Source organism: Homo sapiens, chromosome 4 (genome assembly GCF_000001405.40).
Source record: "Homo sapiens chromosome 4, GRCh38.p14 Primary Assembly".
NCBI classification, from domain to species: domain Eukaryota; kingdom Metazoa; phylum Chordata; class Mammalia; order Primates; family Hominidae; genus Homo; species Homo sapiens.
The window spans coordinates 36,391,933-36,415,595 of record NC_000004.12 but is presented as its reverse complement, the minus strand read 5'-3'; the positions used below and the strand labels follow the sequence as shown (position 1 = coordinate 36,415,595).

General features: G+C 35.2%; 1 annotated feature.

Annotated features, from left to right (window-relative positions):
- Positions 20,250-21,449: an enhancer, noted in NCBI's record as "P300/CBP strongly-dependent group 1 enhancer chr4:36395769-36396968 (GRCh37/hg19 assembly coordinates)". NCBI's record gives its function as "activates an origin of replication core promoter dependent on BRD2, BRD4, P300/CBP, MED14 and CDK7 cofactors, with strong dependence on P300/CBP, by STARR-seq in HCT116 cells {active_cell/tissue: HCT116}" and the evidence as "EXISTENCE:reporter gene assay evidence [ECO:0000049][PMID:35650434]".

Genomic DNA, 23,663 nt, shown 5'->3' with positions numbered 1-23,663 from the left:
CCAATGAAGAAAAAGCAGCTGGATAAATTAGAACAGGTATGTTTGTTTAAGAAATTGTCTTACTAATTCATAGTAAGTAATAGAAAAATTATGGAATCCCCAATTTTTTAAGCCAGTATTTAATAGATTAATTTTCTCATTTTGTTGAAGGTGAACATGTTTCCACAACTTTTGTAATTCATTCAACACTCTGAAGAATGTACATGTAAGATGCTCAATTAGGATAAAATCTCTCTCATTTCTTCTGTTTTCCTACCTCCAAATTTAAAAGCAAGGAGGGATGAGGTGGGACTGTATCTTAGAAAAAATAAAAGGTTTATATTTTACATTTAAAAGATTAGCTACAGGACAGAACAGATTACTAAGTGGTACAAATCACAGTAGGTATTTCTGCAAATAATTACACATCAATTATTCAGTAAAAATTTAATACCACTGATATTTACCAAATAAGAGATGTAACAAAATAATGACTAAGACATAGTCTTCCTCTAGAACTGATGAGATGATCATGAAGATTTTTTGTATCAGTAAGGTAAGTGATAATAATTTTTTGCTCCATATTATGGCTAGAAATGAGCACATAAATACATTTAATGAAAGCAACTATTTGATGACATGTTTCTTTTTATAGAGACAGCCCATAATTGTGCCAGTCTAAAGATAGTGTTCCTTTCATCTAAGTTGAAATTGAAGTTAGAGAATTCTTTGTATTTGCCAAGAAAACACTCAAACTTCTCACATTTTCCTCAAGAGGTATCTACTACCTAAAACATTTTAGATCATGTGGGAAATTCAAGTGCTTATATGAATATTAGCTCTTAATTGCCCTTCTAGATTTTCTAAGTAATTGAAGAATAAATGTAAAAGAAAAAAAAAACTGAACACAAGCCAAATTTCTTCTTTGTACAATATTTCTTGAGCCAGCAGAAGAAAAATAGAAAGGGAGAGACTATGTGTTTTCAAAAGATAGCATTTCTGCCCCCTAACAATAAGAAAACAATGTGCTAGTTATTTGTCTTTCTTTCTCCAAAAAAATTTTTTTAAATACTGGGGATTAATACATACGTCCACAATCATTTCATTCCCAAATAAAAAATTAAGATTTGAGCAAGTGCAGAGAACTGTTTCTGAGTTTACAAGTGCCCCCGTGTGGAAATGAGCAATTATTACTCTTTCACAATTTCATTCTATTAGCTTACTATCACACCTGCTACCTGAGATTTATGAAGATTTCTGATGAAAGTCATCAATTAATCATTCCAACAAGATAATTGTGAACTTTTTAGCCACTCAGATATATTTGATGGCACCATTGATAAATGCGAGCCAAAGATACAAACAAGCATCATTTTGTTTCTTGTATCTGTAATGCTTATTATAGTTCCTGGCACAAAACAGAAGACAAAGACATATTTTTTGAACTAATAAAATTATGATTGTGCAGTCACATAAGCAAGAAATCTAAAGGCACATTCATTCTTCATACTCATTCAGATGGTGAGTATAAAGTAACCAAGTTCCATTGATTATACTTCTGAAATTTCACTCAAATTCAGACCTACTCCATTTTGCTATCCAAGTTTAAGTCCAAAAAGTTTCTTCTCTAATCATTGGTAAAGCCCAGTTTGACCCAACATTCACTACTAGCAGAGGTATTCTACAATAGAAAATTGATTAACTGTCCTTCTGGCCTTTAAGAAAACTGAAGTAGAACTTCTAGTTTGTTTGAGTGAGAAGATTGGCACATTTCGTCCTCAAAAACAAAAATAGCTGTAATACCAAATAAAATATTTAAAAACAAACTTTTTCAAAGCCCTAGAAATTGATGTATGGTAACAAGCAGAAATAATGTCTTTTCTGTAGCGGTCAATACTTAATGCTCTAGTTATCCATGTGGGTAATCATCCTTTGAAGTCATTAAAAGAATAATGCATGATCGAATTAAAATTAAAATTTCAGGTTCCAATTCACATTTGTGAAAAACTTGCTAATCTCAATATATTTGCCCATGTTTTCATAAGATATTTTGATATTTTTTAAAAGATATAAATACTTTGTTGGTTTTTCTTAATCTTCAAGATCCAAATTATCAATAATGCATTTAAGTTAATAAAATTATTTGGTAGTAGAATAATTCTAATAATAAAATAAGGTTAGATTTTTTACTAAACTAATACTTTTATGTACCTTTGTGTAGCCCATTGTAATTAAAACAAACAAAAGCAAGAGTAATTTTGAGCTAAAATTCTATTAGAATTAATAATATTTATTCAGATTTTATTAATGAAGAAAAGAAGGAGGCATAGGTATTTGACATTGAGAATTCAGAGTGCATTATCTTATAAGAGATTCTTTTTAAACTTCTCATTTTATCAAAATTATGAATAATTAGTTTTAAATATGAGTCGTGAGGATTGACAATTGAGTAAAGAGGAATAAAACTTATTGCAAAAATATAAAAAAATATTTTACTTATCTCTTGTCTGATCCTGTTACTCAGTTAATATATAATTATTATACAAAGGTTGAAGTAAGATGGTTTCCAGTATATTAGGGCCAAGGTCTATGCTGTCATTAATACATTTAGCAAAAAGTAGTTTGAAGGGTTTTCGTATTAATATGCCAATGCTGCATTACAGATATGCATGCTGTGCAGTGGCAGCATGCTGCTAGCTGGTAGGATTTTTTTTTCTCCCCATTTCAATAGAATTCCAAAAATTAACTTGATTCTAAGTGGACTTTCTACGTTTCGAATATAGGAATAATTTTTTTTCTTTTTTTTTTAAATGATTAAACAATATATATTTAAATTTGCCAGCCAATGTCATTCTTTTTTTTTCTTTTTTTAATTATACATTAAGTTTTAGGGTACAAGTGCACAACGTGCAGGTTTGTTACATATGTATACATGTGCCATGTTGGTGTGCTGCACCCATTAACTCGTCATTTAACATTAGGTATATCTCCTAATGCTATCCCTCCCCACTCCCCCCACCCCACAACAGTCCCCAGAGTGTGATGTTCACCTTCCTGTGTCCATGTGTTCTCATTGTTCAATTCCCACCTATGAGTGAGAACATGTGGTGTTTGGTTTTTTGTCCTTGCGATAGTTTGCTGAGGATGATGGTTTCCAGCTTCATCCATGTCCCTACAAAGGACGTGAACTCATCATTTTTTATGGCTGCATAGTATTTCATGGTGTATATGTGCCACATTTTCTTAATCCAGTCTATCATTGTTGGGCATTTGGGTTGGTTCCAAGTCTTTGCTATTGTGAATAGTGCTGCAATAAACATACATGTGCATGTGTCTTTATATCAACATGATTTATAATCCTTTGGGTATATACCCAGTAATGGGATGGCTGGGTCAAATGGTATTTCTAGTTCTAGATCCCTGAGGAATCACCACACTGACTTCCACAATGGTTGAACTAGTTTACAGTCCTACCAACAGTGTAAAAGTGTTCCTATTTCTCCACATCCTCTCCAGCACCTGTTGTTTCCTGACTTTTTAATGATTGCCATTCTAACTGGTGTGAGATGGTATCTCATTGTGGTTTTGATTTGCATTTCTCTGATGGCCAGTGATGATGAGCATTTTTTCATGTGTCTTTTGGCTGCATAAATGTCTTCTTTTGAGAAGTGTCTATTCATATTCTTCACCCACTTTTTGATGGGGTTGTTTAGTTGTTTCATGTTTTCTCATGGAAAAAACTTGTTGATAATTCAGAACTTTTCACTCTAAGTAAATGTTTACTACATATGTTTATAATGTACATTTCATAAAATCCTAATTGTATCACTCAATACAGAAATCTAATTCCTTGTCTTATATCCTCCAAAATATTGATATGAATAAGAACCATATACATTGAAATCTTAAAATTACTAAGTGTTACAACTCCAATCGAGAGGTAACTTCAGTGAAAATACATTTTATAAACCTCATGACACACATCATTGTACAATGATCCCATTTTTCATAAGGCTCTAACCCTCATTCTGATGCCCAAATCATCTTTTCTTGTTTCCCCAACATGTCCGTGGATACTACAAATGTGATGATGTCATTGCTCTGTTTAAATTCCATCAGGGGTTCTCTGTGGGCTGCGGAGAATAGTCAGAGCTCTTTGTTTACCTTCATAATCGTACTTCTGTTTCTCTATCTAGACAGATTAACCTATTATTCCTTTCTCTCGATTATTATATCAGTAGTAATTGACTCTTATCCAGTTACCCAAATCATGACGCTTCATGCCTCTTCCCATTTACTGAAGCTGTTTTCTCTCCCAAGAATTCCCTCCTTTAAATATCATTAGACTTTCTCCACTTTCTTTCTGCCAAACTTGTCAGATTATTGTTTATCAGTCCCTAGATTCTCACCCCCAAGAGAAGGTTAATCATATCTAGGTATATGTGTACACTGTGCTACTTGCGTTTCTTGCCCATGATTCTATGTTGTATTTGTAACTAATGCAATTTGCTCATTTCTGTATCTCATCAAACAGGCTGTGTGCATGGCAAAATCAAGTACTACATCACCAACATTTAATAATGTTGAGTCCACACAGTGCATTCCAAATAAATGTTTGCTCAAAGTGTAAAAGAGCAAAACTGGGGAACCAGAGAACCACACAGGAGCTTGAGCACAAGAACCAAGCAGGAACTCTGTTCTTGTGGAAACAGAATCTGTGATCAGAGATTGAACCAATGAGAATGACTTACTGTTAGGGGAGGTGCACGTCTCTGAGCACCAAAGCCTTGGAAGCCAGGCTACCAGTCATTTAATATCAACTATTTCATTTTTGTGCTTTCCAGACTTCAGTCAATGACATATTCTTTAATGCCTTTTGCTGTTTTTGCCTAATTTGTATACATAATGTTTACTTAATATCTTTGTTTAAATTGACTCACATTTTACTCACTAAATTTATTTTAATGAAAATGCTGCATCATTACTATAAATAGAAAATTCAGTGTTATGCTCCAAATTCACAAATTACACTTAAAAATAAATGTAAAAGGAATTTGGCTTTGGCTAATGCCACAGTAGGTAATTAGGACAATTCCTCCCACTAGAAATAACAAAAGAAGCTAAACAAGATATTTTAAAAAGTTTGTTTCAATGTACTGGAGACCTACCAAGGCAAGGAAGAATTTCTTTAGAATTTAATAAGAATTTAAAAGCAAGATCTGGGAGAATATAGGAAACCAGAGGGTGGAGTTTCACACTTTAGAGTCACCTTTTTTCCTGCAGGTACTTGTTCTGTGATTCTTAGGAATCAATCAGAGCTTTCAAAATATTTGCATGACTAAAGAGGAAAAAAAAATTAATTTCAGGGCTCAAAAGAGAGGGAGGCTAGTAAAACTGCAGGCTTTTATAACTGAAATCTCTGCCTCTAGAGAAACGGCACAGTTCTGATCATTTTAAAGCATAAAATTTTGTCTGGCCATGGTACTTTCTTCTCTTGTCTGTTATTTGTTCATCCTCATCTAAGCCTCATCCACCTCCAGAAAAGACTCCCACTTTCCATTTTTCTCACATTATACCCGCAGTGCCTGTGTCTAACTTGTTAAGTGGCAGTCCTTCACTAAAGATAGTTTAGCATTGCAGTGGTCATGTTAGGGAAGTTTTGATTCTAACAAAGTTTTATGGCTCTGCAGAGCTCTAGGACAAAAGGGAAACAATGATCTATTGTACAATGATCAGCCTTTTGAGTTGTTATGAAATCCGTCATGATGTGTGCACTCTGGAAGTATCTCACCTAGATAAATAGATCCTAAGAAGACTCAGCTGTGTTTTGTGAGACAGCTAACTGAGGGGAGTCCATTGAGGTTTCCATAGGTAAAAGAGGGCTAACCTCCTCAGGCAAGGATATAAGTATTGTTTTTCTGGCACAGAAGACTTGGTAGAACTTAAACAGTTCAGTATCCCCAGCTATAACAGAAACTGTCTAAACGTCCTATTTCAATTTTTAGGATCCTATTTCCTCCCAATCAATGCCCTGACTTTAATAGAAGGCACCCGGAGAGGTCAATTCAATTTGTCTTGTAATTAAGCCACTTGCAGGATGGAACTCTGGATTTAGTTTTCGGAAATCTTGACCCTATAACTGTAGTAAACAATGATGTTCTTTCAGGGAAGATATAGAAACCTTCTAATAGCTTATGCAGAACTTAACTTGGGGATTTCAAGCCCTGAGTTCATCAATTTATTTCTCCATTTTTTCCAGCACTGTTAGAAGCAACCAGCCAATTCCATTGAATTACTTAGTTCAACTAAAATGTTGTAAGGTAGCAAATACATAGTCACCCAGAACCTCGCCTGCTATAGATATTTGACTAGGAGTATCAAATAGCAATCAATACTTTCCTTATCTCAGCTGGGCGCGGTGGCTGACGCCTGTAATCCCAGCACTTTGGGAGGCCGAGGCTGGCAGATCAAGAGGTCAGGAGATTGAGACCATCCTGGCTAACACAGTGAAACCCCGTCTCTACTAAAAATACAAAAAAAAAAAAAAAAAAAAAAAAATAGCCAGGCATGGTGGCGGGCGCCTGTAGTCCCAGCTACTGGGGAGGCTGAGGCAGGAGAATGGCGTGAACCCCGGGAGGCGGAGCTTTCAGTGAGCCGAGATCGCGCTACTGCACTCCAGCCCGGGCAACAGAGCCAGAGCGAGACTCCGTCTCAAAAAAAAAAAAAAAAAAAAAACCAACACCAAAATACTTTCCTTATCTCTGTTGCCACATCATGCCATGAACTATCACTGCTCTCTTTACTACTGAAAATAGAGCCTTAAGTGCCTTTAAATCTAATCAGATTTGGTCTACTCAATTCCAGAAAACCCAGAGTCAATTCATAACGCTCATCATTCAGCTTCTGTTCCTCTAATATACCAAAATTTGTATCAGTCAGAGTTCAACCAAAGAAGCAGAACCAGTGGAAATTATATAAGAAAAGATTTATTGTAAAGAATTGGCTTTTGAGATTTTCGAGGCTGGCTAGGCAAGTCCAAAAACCATAGTACACTCGGTCAGAAACGGACAACTGGAATTCTTGGGCACATGCTGAAGTTGCTGTCCATAGGTGGAATTTCTTCTTCAAGGAAGCCTCAGTTCTGCTTTTAAAGACCTTTCAACAGATTGAATTGGGCTCACTCATATTATCTAGAATACTCTATCTTACTTAAAATCAATTGGTTATAACTTTAATCACTTATATAAAATACCATCAGAGCAATACCTAGATTCCTATTTGATGAGTAATGGAATTGTAGCCTAGCCAAGCTGACGTATTAAAAGATGATCACGCCAGGCGTGGTGGCTCACGCCTGTAATCCCAGCACTTTGGGAGGCCAAGGCGGGTGGATCACCTGAGGTCGGGAGTCTGAGACCAGCCTGACCAACATGGAGAAACCCCATCTCTATTAAGAATACAAAATTAGCCTGGTATGGTGGCGCATGCTTGTAATCCCAGCTACTCGGGAGGCTGAGGCAAGAGAATTGCTTGAACCCAGGAGGCGGAGGTTGCAGTGAGCAGAGATTGTGCCATTGCACTCCAACCTGGGCAACAAGAGTGAAACGCCGTCTCAAAAAAAAAAAAAAAAAAAAAAAAAAACAGATGATCACATGCTTCTATATGTTGTTTAATATTTAACAGGAATTATTTTTGAAATTTAAAAATAATAAAATACATGATTGAAAGTTTTTTCAGTGAAATGGAAGGGGATGTGTTTTGAAGGTTGTTTTCTTCTTTGTACTTCACTTAGGCAACCACATCCTTGGGATCCATTTCCCTTCCCTCATTGACCTTCCTTCAGACTTGGCCCACACTCCCTGTGTTTGAACTATCAAAGACTGGTGACATAGCACATATGATAGTTCTTGGATGGTAGTCCAAATGAATACAGCTTCCAAAGATAGTTTTCTTTCCCTGAAATGATAGATTACATCCTATGAGAATTTTACTTTTAAGTCTCAGAAGCTCTATCATCTCTTATTACATCAAAGCTACCAGTTATTCTTTATAACAGACTAAATTCTGAACTTCAGACGAATAAAAATGCACAATGACTATTAATCAATTTTAAAAGTCACATTAACTTGAAAAAATAAAGAGGAGACACTTTGCCATAGTGTCTATAACAGCACAAGGAGAATCCAACCCCACAGAGTTTGATATTCAGTCTCTTGGCTGGCATGGGCTATTTTCACAGCAGATTCAATTATGTTAAAGACAAAATATGACGTTCTTTTAACACATTTTATATCAACTCATTTTGTTCTGTAATCTAGTTTGGTCTCTGTCATGTTCTAAACAGTTCAGCAGAAAGATGTTACAAACCACTATCCCCATTTACACTGATTCATTTTCTGGGAAATCTCCATGCTGTCTCTTTTCATTAGAAAAGAAATGACTGACTATTCAACCAGCAATTTTTAGTGCCCTTGGCAACAAAACAGGGTGACTTCTTTTTAATAAAGTCCCGTGGAAAAGTCATCTGTGTTCTGAAAACATTTATCTCAATTAATTTTTTTAAAGAAAGAAAAAAAGTGTCATCTCCTAATTAAAACACACTAGACAGAAACCTGTTAAAATATGATGAGAACAAAATCACATTTATAAGTGATTTAAAAATGGAAGAAAGATGCTGCATAGAAAGTAACATAGAGAACCCACTTATTTGTTATACATGAATTATTTAACAGATAACATTTTTCTCCTTATCTCAACTTTTCAGAGTATTCCTCTAATTTGTCTTTTATCATCTTCATCAGGAATGGAATGAGAGAGAGAGAGAAAAAAAAAAGAAGAACTGAATGAGAAAGTTGTCCCTAAATAGAGTTGGTTCCAGAGAATTACTGGTTTATAAGGAAAGTGTTTCATACATGTGACCTCTAAGCAGTTGTGGAATACAATTGTTTATATTCAGTTGAAGTATTTGTCTTTTCAGTTTGAAAGACTTCGGTGGCCTTTCCCACCCAAGAAATAGACTGATGATATCTGAGCTGGTGTCAGTAAAGAGATATTATATTTGTCTCTCTGAAACAGAAGATTCCCAGATTGGGTGGGGTGAACCAGGATGTTTATGTAATTCTTTACCATTAAGACATCTTTTCTTTAAATTGTCTTAATCATTTAATCTTCACAATTATCTCATAAACTAGGAGCCATTGCCTCTGTTTTTAAAAAGAAGAACTTGAATCTGAAAAATTGAGTTCCTTTCCCAACTTCACAAAGCATTTAGCTGACTCTGAATCCCATTGATCTTTCTATTAGAATACCGATGTATCTTAGGCTACGCTTCCTTCCAGGGAGATAAGAATCTGTATGTTTCATATAGGCTCAAAGATTTTAACAGTCTGAAGGAAATTCATTTTATAGAAAAATAGAGGCCCAGAAAGATAAATTAACATATTAATAAAAACTACCAAATAATGGTAGAATTAGGACCGGAACTTCATCTTCTGATTTTCACAGCGGTGCTCTTACCACTAAACAAAACAACTTTACGTCTTATGATTTTATTGTTCATAGATAGTCCTGCTATAGTACCCAGAAGGCAGAAGGTAGAGTCAAAGTTATCAATTTGGAAGGGACTTCCAAGTAAACCAGTGGAATTGATCCAACTTGTAAAATAGTCTGAGCCAATATGGCCCCTCAAAATTACTGGCTTCATTTTAGTATCATAGCAGCCAATCTTCACAGGCAAATGAGCACTAAGGACTCTCTTCTAGACACCTACTGCCAGGTATCAAAGCAATCATTAGAGTGAATTCCATACACATACAAATGTTTATAACAAACAGGAGTTAGGCAAGTCATGCAACCTGTTCCCTAAGCGCAATGAAATCCCAGCTCTCTGTCATTTAAAATGATTTGATCATGCTTTGCACAAAATCTTTCCTAGACACAAAAGTGACAATATGCTAAAAACAGAAATCTGCTTATCTACTTGTAAGCAACAGACAACCAGATTCTTTCAAATTAGTGACTGAGTGTGAGACTCCTTGGGAGTAAAAACCCAGGAACCACCAGAAACATAGATTGCAGGGCTTAGGGTTCCTGTAATGAACAGTGTCTCTACAGTATTTCTAGTCAAGTCACAATCTTGTTCACTACTCATTTTATCAATAGAGTTCTTTTTGCAACATAGGTTTTCCTAGTTAAATATCCTCTAATGTTGATAAGAGATAAATAAAACTGAAGCCCTGTTGTAGTCATTTCTGATGTATGAGCAGGGTCTTTCAAATAGTATCTAGGTAGCCTGCAGAGTATGTTACTTGTGATGGTAATTAACCATATCTCCTGAGAGAGAATTAACACATACATCACAATGTCTCTAATGAAATATTTCAAAGTAAACTACATAGCAAAGGGATAAAACATTATTCTAGGTGGAAACATACATACTCTGATTTGTGAAATCCAATACGTTGCCCCCCATCTGAGTCTTTCTGTATTGCTTTTCCTCGCCCTCCTAAAAATTATTCTCAGAAAGTTCTACAGTCTAAATTTTCAGACATGCAAAAATCTGTTCAAAATGTGTTTAAAATTATTTTTAAAGATTTATTTAGTCATACAGCATTCATTTATTATCATTCTAATAAAAACTTACGTGGGAGTCTAAACTATGATGGCAATCCATGTGGCAATATATCATTTGTTATAAAAAGACTGCTTACATTAAATAGTTATCACTTTATTCACCGTTATCATTAGACTTTATAGAAGAAGGCAGTACTGATGAGGCTGGGTTATTTTTAACATTGCAGACACAGTGTAAAAATCAGCAGCTGGGAACTTGGGAGGCAGGTTGGATCCCAGAGCTACTTATAATCAGGATTCCTTAGATGAGGGCCATGAATTCATATATTTATGTAGCTGATTTCAATATGTAACCCAAGTATGGAGACTACTATTAAAAATATTTCTGCTTCTTGGATAATTTTCCCTAGATGCCAGTATCTTAAATACAAGTATAAGAAAAAAGCTGTTCAATACACACTGATAATGCTTTCAGAGCCCCTTTATTATGTGTCATTTCAGAATAGAAACATTTTTACACCAACAGAAGGAAACAATTGACAATAAATAAATGCACCATGTAAAATGAATTACATAGATTTAACCAAAGAGTTAGTAAGAGGTCCTAACTGGTTGTATTCTGAACACGTGAGTGTTTTATTTGAACTACAGAGTGTTTTGTCTTAGTTTTTAAGTTAAAATAGTTGCAAACATTTCAGGGTAACACACAAAGTATGTACTTCCATTTTCCTTTGAACAGAACTTGACATAATTCCACCAGGTCCACTATCTCAAATGGCAACAGCAGATATGTCTGAGCTGCAGCTGTCCCACTGAGAATGGCATATTCATGCCATATTCCTAGAGTTTCTAGTCCTTCCCAAGCCTATGTTCAGTGCTGCCCATGGGGATTTGATTTTATGACCTCTGAGTTCATGAATCACAGACATACAATCAATTAGCTAATTCATAATATGAAGCTATTAGGGCTATGCATAGCAACATATTAAAGTCTCAGAAGCATAATCATCAGATAAAAATAAAACTACCTGCAAATGAGTATATAATGATAGCATTTATGCAAATTTTAGAACGAAAAAAGCAATATTTTACTTTTAAAAAATATATAACTGTTGTATTGTTTGTAGATATAGGCATAAGTAATAAAAAATTTAAAAAGTGGAAAAAACACACACTAGTGGCAGGATCATAAATGTTTCCAGTTAGAGAGAAAGAGGATATAGAAGAGTGACCGCATTCTATTGCTATCTGTTTATTTTCTTTATCTATTCTATTCTGTTTATTTTATTTATGTATTCTATTGCTGTTTATTTTCTTTAAAAGATAGAGACAGAAAGGGAGAGAATCAAACAAATGCAATAAAATGCTATCATTTGATAAATCTATGAGAGAGTATTTTTCATTACATTTTCTGTAATGTTCTGTATATTTGAAATATTTAATAGTTACAATCAAAGTATATAGAGTTAGAATTCTAGAATAAATTCATTCTTCTTCATTAAAAAAAAAGTAAAATCCATTTCCAGTGGTGAGTAAACAAGTGTCAAGATCCCTTCTGTTTCCAAGCGGGTACTGTGCCATCACAGAGTCTGTCTGTGGTCTGTGTCCCTGTCATTTGTGACCCAAGCTAAGTTGTGCTGAAAGATGTATTTTTTTCCTATTCTAGAGTATTTTGTGAAGTTTTCATTTGGAAACTCAAATCAAAAGTGCATGCTCCAGAGAAGACATCAACTCATAAGCCTCATCTATTTTTAGCTTTTATCAACACCAGAATTTTGGTCGATTAACATAATGGATATTAGAAATGACTAGCTGTAGTGGGTTGTTCTGTTTCTGGAAGGAATAATGAGCTTGTGGATTTTAGGTTGCTGATGAACTAAGACGTTATGTGTTTTACTAAATAATAATGAATTACAACTTTTAGTTGTTAGTCTGGCATGTAAAGAACTTAGAGGTCACCACTCTGTCATAACAACAAGTAAAAAAGCTGAAAAATCTGAAAAATCATCCATTCTTCTTAAATCCATATGAGAAGTGAGGTCACAGGGAAAATCACTGTCCCCAAAATAAGACAGACAGAAAGGCAAATACAGAGACTCACAAGCTACTGGAGCAGAAACCTGAGTGGGAACCAGTACTAAAGTAGGAAAACTTAAAATGTAATTGACTAATGGGAAGCTAAGAATGGGCAAGACTGGGAGTAAATACTCCAGCAGGGTCCCATCGTAGGGGAAAGTATTAGGCCATTTTCACACTGCTGATAAAGACATACCCAAGACTGGGTAATTTACAAAAAAGAAGAGGTTTATTGGACTCACAGTTCCACGTGTCTGGAGAGGCCTCACAATCATGGCAGAAGGTGAAAGGCACATCTCACATGGTGGCAGACAAGGGAACAGAGCTTGTGCAGGGGAACTCCCCTTTTTTAAAACCATCAGATCTTGTGAAACTTATTCGCTATCATGAGAACAGCATGGGAAACACCTGCCCCTATGATTCAATTACCTCCCACTGGGTCTCGCCCACAACACGTGGGAATTCGAGATGAGATTTGGGTGAGGGCACAGCCAAACCATATCAGATACCCCCACACTTTTCTGGCTTTACCTACAGGAGATGAAGTAGATTCGCCCAGTAAACATTAGAGAGAAGTCTCCAGCTTCCAACGGGGAAAGGATTCTGTTTTTTACAAAGCCTGCCCCCTAGAGAAACTATTTTATCAGATCCTGATCTGAAGGGGTTTTATAGGAGCCTAACATACTTGGGAAAGGGAAAACCCCAACCCTAACCCTCTCTAGTTTTTCATATGGGGGATGAAAAACACTTGACTCCATCACCCTGTAGCCATCCCATACTGGTCGATAAAACTGAGAGACACCTGTGAAGTTCACAGTCTAGGGACACAAGCTCACTAAAAGACTGAGACATAATCACAGGACTCTAGAATACTAGCTAACCCCCAACACCTTACCGGCACATCACTAAAGGCCTATTTACTAGAGTTCCTTTTACCCACTACATCACAAGAAATTATAAGGCATACTCATAAAAAAGCATGAAATCATGTCCTTTGCAGCAACATGGATGCAGCTAGAGGCCATTATCCCAAGCAAATTACTGCAAGAATAGAAAACCAAATACCACCTGTTCCCTCTTATAAGTGAGAGCTAAACATTGAGTACACAGAGAACAATAAACATCAGGGACTACTTGAGTGTGGAGGGTAGGAGAAGAATGAGGGACAAAAAACTACCTACCAAGTGCTATGCTTACAACATGAGTGATAAAATCATTTGTATACCAAACCTCAGTGACACACAGCTTACCCATGTAACAAGCTTGCACATGTACCCTGCAAACCTAAAATAAAAAGGTGAAGAAAAGGAAAGTAAAAATGCCCTAATGCTAAAAAAAAAATAATAATTACAAGGCATACTAAAAGGCAAAAAACACAGTGTAGACAAGGAAGTCATCAGAACCACTCTCAGACATGGCTGCGATATTGGAATCATCACACTGGGAATTTAAAATGATAATGATTAATGTGCTAAGGTGTCTAATGGACAAAGTACACAACATGTAAGAAAAGATAGGTCAGGTAAACAAAGAGATGGAAATGCTAAGAAAGAATCAAAAGGAAATGCTAGAGATCAAGAACACTTTAACAGAAGGAAGAATTATTTGATGGGTTCATTAGGAGACTGGACGTGGCTGAGGAAAGAATCTCTGAGCATGAGAATGTGTTAATAGAAAATTATAAAACCAAAATGTGAAGAGAAAAATTACTGAATAAATGGAACAGAATATCGAATAACTATGAGGCAATGACAAAAGATGTAGCATATGTGTAATGAGAATGCTAGAAAGAAGAGTCATGAACAGAAGAAACATTTGAAGTAATAACAACTGATAATTTCCCTCAAATTAATGTCAGACACCAAACCACAGATCCAGGAAGCACAGAGAAAACCAAGCAGGATAAATATCCAATAATTTGCACCTAGCCTGAAAATAAAAGGTCAAGAAAAATCTTGAAATGAGTCAGAGGAAAAAAAAAACAACTTGCCTATAGAGGAGCAAGATAAAAATTACATCTGACATCTCAAAAATCATGCAACCAAGAAGAGAGTGGAGGGAAATATTTAAAGTGCTGAAAGAAAAGATACATCAACCTAGAATCCACTACCCTGCAAAGTTATCCTTGAAAGTCAAGGAGAAATGAAGTCTTTCTCAGACAAACAAAACTGAGGGAATTTGTTAACAGTAGATCAGTCTTACAAGAAGTTATTTAGAGAGAAAAAACGTGACACAGCTCAGGAACTCAGATCTGCATGAAAAACGGAAGAGGATTAAAGAAGGAATAAGGGAAGATAACAGAATTTTCAGTTTTCTTATTCTCAATTGATCTAACAGATAACAATTTGTTTAAAATAATAATAGCAACAATGTATTTGATGATTATAGCTTACGCATTAGTGAAATAAATGACATCAATGATACAAGGGATGGGAGGGAGGAATTAGGAATATTTTCTTATTATAAAATACTTGCACCACATACAAAGTAAAATAATTTTATTAGAAAATAATAATGAATTACTCTTACTGCTCTTGTTCAACCTCTTCCCTCTGCTCAGAATGTCCTCCCAGTCTCTGGTCTAAATGGAAAACATCTCCTCTTCCCTTAAAACCCTAAGAAACATTACCTCTTCTATAAAATTTTTCCTGGTCTTCCTTCCCAGCCATCTATTATGTGGAAATACTTTGATTTCTTTCTTTCCGTTGATTTTTCCACATTGTATGTAGATGTCTACATTAGTGCATATTTCTCTGTGTTGTATTTTTCTGTTAGGAATAAGGTTTACTTATTACTAATCTTTATACCCCAAGACTTTAGAAAACTGTAAAGTCACATATATATAGAAGTTATTATTGATATACTGCTAAGACTGCACTAGGGTTTCTTGAGTGTATCTCTTTGGGACAGCCCCCACTTATATTTTCCTATGAAATGCTAGACATAAAAGAGAAGCTCAAAGTCCAATTGCCTGAATTAAGAAAAGTACTGCGATGATGACTTTTGTCACCAGAGGGCATCACTGGCTCAGCAGCTGCTTCTCTAATGCTAAGACATTTTAAAACTTTGTATTTAAGGTTCCTTGACTAAGTCAAAAAAGTATTTATTGAACATATAGCTTGTGCCAAGAAATGTTCTAGGTCTTGGGAAATACAGCAATAAATAAAAGTGACAAGGTTTCTCTGTTTGATCTTGTTTACATTTCACTCAAAACTGATGGTTGGAAACAGCCTAAATTCTGTCAGTCTTAAGAATCTAAACTTGCCTAGATTTTGTTTCCAGTGTGGGAAACTGGGTTAGTTTTGAGTTCTCCTTTGGTCACTCAGTCAATAAATACTTACTGAAAGCCTACTATGTGCTATATTTGGATTGAGTATTCGATAGACATGACAAGGTGGCCTTAGCTTTCATGGAAGTTACAATATAGTAGAGAACACAAAAATTAATTTTAAAATGTCCATTTGTGGCCAGTGATAAAAACGTAAATAAATTACAAGGTGACTTGTACAAGAGGGTAAGCCAATTGTTTTTTAGAGTTTAGGGAAAGCTTTTTTGAGGAAAGAGAACGTAACTCCACCACCACCACCAAGACGAAGGATGAGCAGAAATAACTTGGGGAAGAATTTCTATGAGGATGTTCTAGAGAGAAGTAACTAGAAAGATTCTAATAAAATATGGCATGATGCCAGAATGAGGGAAGAACTGTCTAGTCACAAAGAGAGTTTGGCATAGCATAGTAGCTACATAGGAAGCTGTACTAACTTTTCTTTGTGATGATCTGGGATATGCCTGCTAATCTGGCGCTTTACCTAATGTCATCTCAGCCATACAACAGCCTCACGACACATGTAGAACCGTAAGAGTTTGGGACAAGACTGAGGGTGTCACTGAATGAAATATGGTAAATCTCATTGAGTTTAAATAGAAGACTAGCTTCTATAGTAACAAGATATGGAATAAACAGCCAATAAAATAAAAAATGTACAAAAAATTTACAACAAAAAATGCATTATAACACCAGATAATTCAAATTAGTTCCACTTTAAGTAAGAATAGTCATTAATCATCTCAAAGGTACTGGAAATTAAGGATAAGGCCCACAAGAAACCAAAGTACTCTCATGTATTTGAAGAATGAGACATGACATTTTAGGTATATTTAGCTAGCTTCAAGAATGAAAAAAATAAATTTGTTACATTTTTGCTTTTTTAAAAAAAAAAATACACCCAAGAGATCACCCTCTTCCAAACAGGGAAATCTCTGTTGTAAATAAAATACATTATTAAACTTGCATGTTTTTTTCTCATTGACTTCCTTGGAAAGTGATTTGAGAACTAGATGAAGTGAGAAGAAAAATTAAAAGGAAATATAAGAAGAAAGAATTTAAGAAAGCTAGATAAGAAAATAAAATAATGTCAAAACAGAGATAAGGAGAATACAACAGTTGTACATATAATTAACTAGTAGAATTATTAACCATCTATCGAAGAGCTAGTAAGTGCCAAATACTGGATTAAAACATGAAAAGAAAATAATTACAACAATTTTTAAAAGTAATAATATTGTCTTCTTGTCTCCAGAATATTCCAGATATCAGAAGGGCAAGAAACATAAAAATAATTGTGATGCAACATGATGAATTCTATAATCCAGGAAAGTATAATATAAGGTAGCTGTAAGGAGAGACTGAAATGAAGAGATACACTACTGTTACTTTTGTCTGTTTAGCATTTCTTTTCCTTTCTTTCTCTGGTGACCAAGCTAATATTTTCTGGGGCGAAACAATTTCATGTGGTTCTATGGAGCCAAAGACGAGACAAACAGGGCTTTTAAGAGGTCTTGTGACAGTAATTAGTTCAATGATGATCATGTTATCCAAGCCGCACTAATTTGCTTTTTTGTGAACTTTTCTTCAATTGCTATCTTAAAGACTATTTTTCCACAGAGGTTTTAAGTTCGAAAGATATGAGTATAGGGCTTGATGATGAGAGGGACAGGATGTGAAGGAGCTCCGGGATCTAGCCATGACTGAAATCTGCCATACTCCGTAACTTGCAAGAAATTTAGTGTGAAGTATTCTTACCCTACTTCCAAGTGAAAATAATTCTTACTTATACAGAATATATTACAATCTATTCTTGTTACATGCATTTAAAAAAATCTTGAATTTCAAACTTGAAAATGTTTTTAAAGATAATAAAGTCGTAATTTCTGCATTAATAGGCCATCGAATCCTGATATTTTGCATTGTTCATTAAGCAAATCTAAAATAGTTCAAAAATATAAAAAAGCAAAGCAAGTTTATGAGATATTAGATTACGAGACTTCTGGGATTACACAAAAAACACATGGCTTATGTCGGATTCTGAGGTCATGAATTTCTCATGCAGATAAAAATACATGTAGGAAATGAGGTGGATTAGTGAGTGAGTGCAGAGAAAGAGTCTAATTTAAAACTCATTATAAAATTTACCTACTAACAATGTAGGACGCTACACATGCAGTTATAAATATATCTTAACAGGCTACAAAATGAAACAGAATTTTTGAAGTGTTTAGCTCCAAGCATAAAGCTGCTGGAGTTGACAAGTTCATTTTTAATATTTGATTTGAAAATCTTGGGCACAGCAGTAACAACTTAAGATGCAAATTAAATTTTTCAGGAAACAGGAGAGACAGACATTTTAATTGCATTTCCCATGAATAAAATGTTATAAAGTCCCCCACTGGAAGGGAAGCAGCTTTGTTTCACAGTCTAAATTTCATTTTGGATGGTTTGGGAGGAAGTCTTAATTTTACTCTCTTTTTTCCTTATTTTCTTCTCCAGTTTGTATTAAGAATCCTCCTATACCCTGATGTCTTAGGATGTTGTCAGAAGAACTACCAGGACACAAGCTTTATTTTAAAAGGAGTTAGTTACAAATGAGACCAAGTGAATGGGCTACATGTGACCTAGGATTAGAAGTGAATGCCTTGGAAAGGCAGTTCCCTCCAGATCTACCTGCCCAGCTAACAATGATCTTGGGTTTGCATTTCAACACAATCTGCAATTTTTTTGCTTTCAGAGATATCAGTGAGCCTAAACTAAAAATTAAGTCCCTTGTTCCTTGACCAACCAAGAGTAACCTGCCTTTTCTCCAGATATACATGTAGCCTGTCACGGCTTCATGTTCAACTCTTAAGACAAACTATATGGTCTGAATGTTTGTCTCCCCTCAAAATGCATATGTTGAACTCCTAATCCCTAAGATGATGGTAATAGGAGGTAGAGCCTTTGGGAGGTGATTAAGTCATGAGGGTGGAGTCCACATGAATGAGATTATTGCCTTTATACAAAAGGGCCTTGAGAGGTCCTTTGCCCCTTCCAACATGTGAGGTTACAGTGAGAAAATGACCATCTAGGAACCAGAAAGTGTGCCCTCTCTAGACACTGAATCTGCTGGCACCTAGATCTTGGACTTTCCAGGCTCCAGAACTGTGAGAAATAAATTTCTGCTGTTTATAAGATATCTAGTCTATTTTATTATAGCAGCCTGAACAGATAAAAATGCTATTACTAACTCTATTAGTGCTATAATGACTTACTCTATTTTCTCCCTGATATATTCAGAGGCTCACTCATGGGAGACTGCCAATTGATGTTCAATACTTTCCCCGTAACACAGTAAACATAGAGATACATAAGGGCTTGCGAAGAAAAGAGCAGTAGAAGAAAAAAATGACCTTAGGAATTACATTTTCAAAGGCAATAAATTGTCATGTTCCTGTTATTGATTGACAGTGATCAGATTGCAGACTTCAGGACCCAAAGCAATATCAAGAGAGGAAGTTACAGGATCAGAGGTGAGAGCATGTGGCTTTAGCTCAGGACCTGAGACTGCTGTGTGACACTTGTGTAAAGTCAGTTCAAGCCCATGCTGAGCTGGTCATCACAGTGGCAGCTGGGATAAGAGACAGGTGAGGCTGAGAGGCTCTGGCATGGTGCATAAGAGGTGTCTAATACACAGGGATTGACAGAAAATTTAGTTCCAAATTTGGATACAACCACTGACCAGTGCAGAGAGTCTATACATGCATTTTGTGTATTAACTCCATTTCTTTTGGATATTTCCAAAACTTATTCAAATTTTTTTGTCTTGAAGCAAACAAGACTCTGCAATGTTAACCAAATGTATAACCAAAAAGAAAAGGTGCTATTGATCATACTGCACTATATAAAATATATAAAGGGAAGGCAAGATTCAATGTCACATATGATAGAGAAAATTTTACATTTTGACATGTTTGAGATAGTTGGAATCTTACCAATACAAATCTGGTATCAGGGGCTTCTTTTCCCTCTCATGATCAAAGACATTTAGTATATTGAAAATATCTTTCAGCTTTATTTTTATATCTATTTGATATAATTGTAACTCAATGATTACTTCACGATTTTTTAAATGTTAATAATGAAGTTTTTATTGTGTATTTATAACTGTATGTAGAGTATATATGTACATATCTATAATTTACGTATATAGATAACATATATATGCAGATGTATATGCATGTGTATGTTATGTTTATGTATGTTATCTATATACATAAATTATAGACATATACTATGTAATGCATATATGTGTTATTTACATACATAAGTTATAGATATATACAGATATATACATGCACAGAGAAAGAGAGGGAAAAAGAGCAAAAAAGTATCTAAACTTTATAATTTGCTACTCTGAGGAAATCATGAAGCTGATGGTTGTATCATTTATTCTAATTGGTCTAATGCATATCTTAACATATTATATTAAACAGAAAGTCAATTGCACTTCACTCATGACACTGTCCTCATTAACAATGATCCAAAGAAGAAATTATACTTCAATTTAGTTTACAGCTATTCTTGGGAAATGTAAACTATTATTCTGGAATTTTTGCATATTTAAATATTTATGATTGGTTTATACATATTTATACTTTAATAATTCTGTATATTAAAAGTGAATGAAAACTGCTCTCAATGTGTAGTGGAATTGAGTAAATAGATGACAGATGGTAGGTGCCAGGTATGACTGGCATCTATAAAAAAAGGGAAATTTGAACACAGACACAAACACAGTAAGAACACCATGTGAGCCTGAAGATAGAAATCGAGATGACACATCTACAAACACAAGAACTTCAAAGGTTGCCAGCAAACTACCGGAAGCTAAGAGGAAGACATGAAACAGATTCTCCTCACTGACCTCAGAAGGAACCAACCCTGCCAATGCTTGATCTTGGACTTCTAGCCTCCAGAACTATGAGACAATACATTGTTGTTTAAGCCACTCAGCTTGGAGTACTTTGTTATGTCAGCCCTAGCAAGCTAATACCGTGACTTGGTTACAAAGAGTGCAGAATGGAAAGAGAGAGAGAAAAAGAATAACTTTAAAGTAGAGAAAATTTACAATGATCTCAGCCGGATGATCAAGGTAACATCAACAGCGATGAGTCATAATGATAGGAAACTTTGGCATGATGTGATGACAAAGGCACTTTACCTCTGTGGGCTTCCTTGCAAAACCCCTAGCCCCAGTCTGGTCATGAGAGAAAGTATCAGGCAAATCCCAACTAAGCAACATTCTACAAAATGCTGACCAGTGCTCCCCCAAACTGTCAAGGTCATCTAAATCAAGGAAAGTCTAAGGAACTGTCACAGCCAAGAGGAGCAAAGGAGACACGATGACTAAATAGAATGTGGAATTTTGAAAGGGATTAAGGAATAGAACATTGGCTTAAAAGGAAGAAAATCTAAAAAACATTCTGAGCTTGAGTTAATAATAATGTGTCAATATTGGTAAGTTAATCAAAACAGATGTATAATATTAACATAAGTTACTAATAATAGGGAAAATGGGTATGGAATATATGGAAATTCTCTGTACTATCTAGTACCTTTTTATGTAAATCTAAAACTTAGTTCTAAAATGAAAAGCTAATTTAAAAAATAAATGAAAATTTGATCAGCTGTATGCTTTGTGATGTATTTAGAGTACATAAGACAAACAACTGTGAAATACAGACATATTTAACATAAAATGCAGTTTGCAGTAACCCCCATGTGCTCATAAAAGTTAATGTATACATTAAATAAAAAATAGTGTGATCATAAGTTATTTATATAAATAATGTAGTTCAGTGAGGCAGAATATAAATTTCAAACATGATCTACAACACTTTTTTAACCTTTTAAAAGTATAATTAATAAATTATTTTCCCCTATTAGGTTGCCAGGAATCATAATACTTTTTGACATATTATCCTTAGACAGTTACATAAACAACCTGTGGTTCATTTATTTTTAGTGAAACAATAATTTTTGGTTCTACAATAATGACTTAAAGGGAAGTAAAGGAACAGACTGAAATATTTATCGGTAGATTTTATCTTCTGTATTATGTGCAAAATCAAATGTGTCTGGGGATTTGTACAGAATTGTTCTGTCGTTCTTCGCCTTGTCAATTTCAGGCCACTGCTTCTTAACATCAACACAAGACAAGATAGACCACTTACAAAAACATCTGAGGCACTAGGATACCAACTCATGTATGGTATATTAACTTTCCCAATAGAATAACACTTCTTAAGAAGACATTAGAATGTTATTACTGAGAATTCTGTATCTCGGAATAATTAATGAATGTCTTGCTTTCTATTTGACTAATGATTAGCATTTATCATTTCTTCGGGAATCAACACAGTTTTATCTGGTGGAGAACTGTCAGTCTGAGAGTCTTCAAATCAGTGATTATTATAGAAAGTAGACCTTACACAACTGTAGGAAACACAGTTCCAGATGAGGGATTGAATCAGAGATTGAGTCACCAAGCAGTCAATTAGAGAAGCCGTGTCCTTCCAGCTAGAGATATGAAGGGGAGTTTGTGGAGAAACCTATGAAAAGCTATTGCTTCTGAGTAGCTACTGCCTCAATTGGTCAGTAGGACCAGCAGTAGGAAGAATGACTGAACACAGAAGAGGCATCTCTGTGAACGTCTGTCACTGCATAGAGTTGGGAAAAGACCTTTGGAGAATCATGGCCACTGCCTTATTTCTGCCTTCAAATTTCACAGAAGTACTTTTTGCCAACTCTAATTTGAAACCATACAGGGAAATGTAGCTCTTAGTATAATCAATTTAACCACAGTGGGTGTCATATGTTTACTCTGTCCTTCTAAAAATCAGATAAAGCTATGAAATGTGTGTGTGCTTGAAATATTTTAGTCTACACACATGCAGGACTTTGTTAGAACACTGCTTTGACCATTTGATTACCAGGGTATACCCTTTATTAGACAACTTAATGGACTTAGATAATGACATTTTAGTGAGGATCCCATAAGTTGGGGTTTCACAGTGATGCTGCTGGTAAATGCTTTCTTGAGAAATGTAAGAAAGAAAATAAGAGATACTAGTGGTACAGCTGTGATTACATCTATGTCTGGATGCAGCCATCAAATATATTATACCTAGAGACCAAATCTATTATGGAATGAAATTCTGCTGCAAGAGATGGGAAGACAAAGCCAAACTGGTAGCCTGGGGTTAGTGGGAGAGGGTCAAAGAATTCACAGAACAAAAGGTGTGCAATAGGAGATAGCACAAATAGTATTTAAAAGCAAGCATTAGGCCATTAAACTTCTGAGTCAGATGTCAGACAAGCCTGGGTCTGAGGCTCAGCTCCCTCACTTACTAGTCACTGGACCCTGATCAGTGATTCACTCCCTCTAAGCCTCACTCTTCTCATTCTATGCTTGTATAATCCTTGCCAGAAGAGAATCTGCTTCAAAATTTTGTCATGAAGAATAACAGTAATAACTGCCTATGAAAACTCAGCTGTACATAATGCCTGAAACACGTAAGTACTCCATAAATAGTTCCAGGAAGGCAGAGATTTTATCTATTTTGCTATCACTAGATCATCAGCTCCTGGCACTGCTTACCAGCCTCTCAGATAAATTAATTAATTGAGTAACTAATAGCAGCTGTTTGTATTGCTATTCTTG